Consider the following 2,540-nt stretch of genomic DNA (forward strand, 5'->3'; position numbering starts at 1 on the left):
TGCTGTTTAAAGAATTCTTTCATTTTCTTTGACTTTGGACAGTTTCACTATAATGTGCTGGGGGAGAAAAGCTTTTTGAATTGTATCTAGTTGGGGATCTCTGAACTTCATGTACGTGGATGTCTAAATTTCTTGCTAGACTTGAGAAGTTTCAGCCATTATGTCATTTAATAGGTTTTCATGCTTTAAACTTCTCTACACCTTCTGGTGTAGAGAAATTCAGATATTTGGTCACTTTGTGGTGTACCATATGTCTTGCAGGCTTTTTGTATTTCTTTTCTTCTTTTTTTGGTCAGACTGGATTATTTTGAAAGACCTGTCTTCAAATTCTGAAATTCTTCTGCTTGATTTTGGTTATCTTTGAAGCTCTCAGTTGTATTTTTTATTTCATTCATTGAATTCTTCAGTTCTGAGATTTATGTTTAGTGCATTATTTATTGTTCAATAGAACCAAACCGTTCTTTTCTAATGATATCTATCTCTCTAGTGAATTTCTTATTTATATTCTGAATTGCTTTTCTGATTTTTTTGGTATGGGTTATCTGTTTTCTCTTGTATCTCAATGAGTTTATTTAGTATCATAATTTTGAATTCTCTTCACGCAATTAATAAATTTATTTTATGCTAAAATCTGTTATTGGACAATTATTGTATTCTGTTGAATGCATCATATTTCTTCACTTTTCATGTCCTTGTGTCCTTTTGTTGATATCTGTGTATTAGGTGCAGGGTACATAGTAGGTATATGTATTTATGGGGTCCATGAGATGTTTTGATACAGGCATGCAATGCATAATAATCAGACCATAGAAAAAATATCCATCACCTCAAGCATGTATTCTTTGTGTTACAAACAATCCAATTATACTCTTTCAGCTATTTAAAAATGTACAATTAAATTATTATTTACTATAGTTACCCTATCGTGCTATCAAATACTAGGTATTATTCACTCTTTTCAACTAATTTTTTTTGTACTCATTAGCCATCCCCACCCCACTTCAGCCCCGTGCTACCTTTCTCAGTGTCTAGTAACCATCCTTCTATTGTCTATCTCCATGAGTTCAGTTGTTTTGATTTTTAGATCCCACAAATAAGTGAGAACATATGATGTCTTTCTTTCTGTACCTGGGTAATTCCACTTAACATAATGACCTGCAGTTCCATCCATGTTGTTGCAAATGATAGGATCCCATTCTTTTTTTGTGACTGGATAATACTCTATTGTGTATAAATATCATATTTTGTTTATCCATTCATCTTTCGATGGATACTTAGGTTGCTTCCAAATCTTGGCTATTGTGAACAGTGCTGCAACAAAGATGAGAAGAGTCCAGATATCTTTTTGGTATACTGATTTTCTTTCCTGTGAATATATACCCAGCAGTGGGATAGCTGGATCATATTGTAGCCTTATTTTTAATTTTTTGAGGAACATTCAAACTTCTCTTCATAGTGGTTGTACTAATTTATAGAAGTTGCAAACCCTGATGGTCCTCTGCTCTACCAGCTGAGCTGTCGAAGGGTGTATACTAATTTACATTGCCACCAACAGTGTACAAGAGTTCCCATTTCTGTACATCCTCACCAGCATTTGTTATTGTGTGACATTTAAATGTAAGCCATTTTAACTGGGGTGAGATGACACATTGTAGTTGTGATTTGCATTTCTCTGATGATCCATGAGTTTGAGCACTTTTACATATATTTATTTGCCATTTGTATGTTTTCTTTTGAGAAATGTCTATTCAAATCTTTTGCCCATTTCTTAATCAGATTATTAGGGTTTTTTCCTATAGAGTTGTTTGATTTCCTTATATATTTAGGTTATTAATCTCTTGTCAGTTGGGTAGTTTGCAAATATTTCTTCCCAATCTTTGGGTTGTGTGTTCACTTTGCTGATTGTTTCCTTTACTGTGCAGAAGCTTTTTAATTTGGTGTGATCTCATTTGTCCATTTTTGCTTTGGTTGCCTGTGCTTGGGGGATATTACTCAAGAAATGTTTGCCCAGACCAATATCATGGAGATTTTCTCCAATGTGTTCTTGTAGTAGTTTTATAGTTTGAGGTCTTAGATTTAAGTTTTTAATACATTTTGGTTTGATTTTTGTATATGATGAGAAATAAGGGTCTAGTTTCCTTCTTCTGCATGTGGACATCCAGTTTTCCTAGCACCATTTATTGAAGATACTGTATTTTCCTCAGTATATGTTCTTGAAGCCTTTGTCAAAAATGAGATCACTGTAGATGTATGAATTTGTTTGTTGGTTCTCTATTCTGCTCCACTGGTCTATGTTTCTGTTTTTATGCTGGTACCATCTTGTTTGGGTTATTATAGCTGGTAGTATAATTTTAAGTCAGGTAATGTGATTCTTGAAGTTTTGTTCATTTTGCTTAGAATAGCTTTGGCTATTCTGCGTCTATTTTAAAATTGTGTTTTCCATTTCTGTGAGGAATGTCATTGGTATTTTGATAGAGATTGCATTGTATCTGTAGATTGCTTTGGGTAGTATGGACATCTTAACAATATTAATTCTTCCA

This window comes from Homo sapiens, chromosome X, assembly GCF_000001405.40.
Source record: "Homo sapiens chromosome X, GRCh38.p14 Primary Assembly".
NCBI lineage: Eukaryota > Metazoa > Chordata > Mammalia > Primates > Hominidae > Homo > Homo sapiens.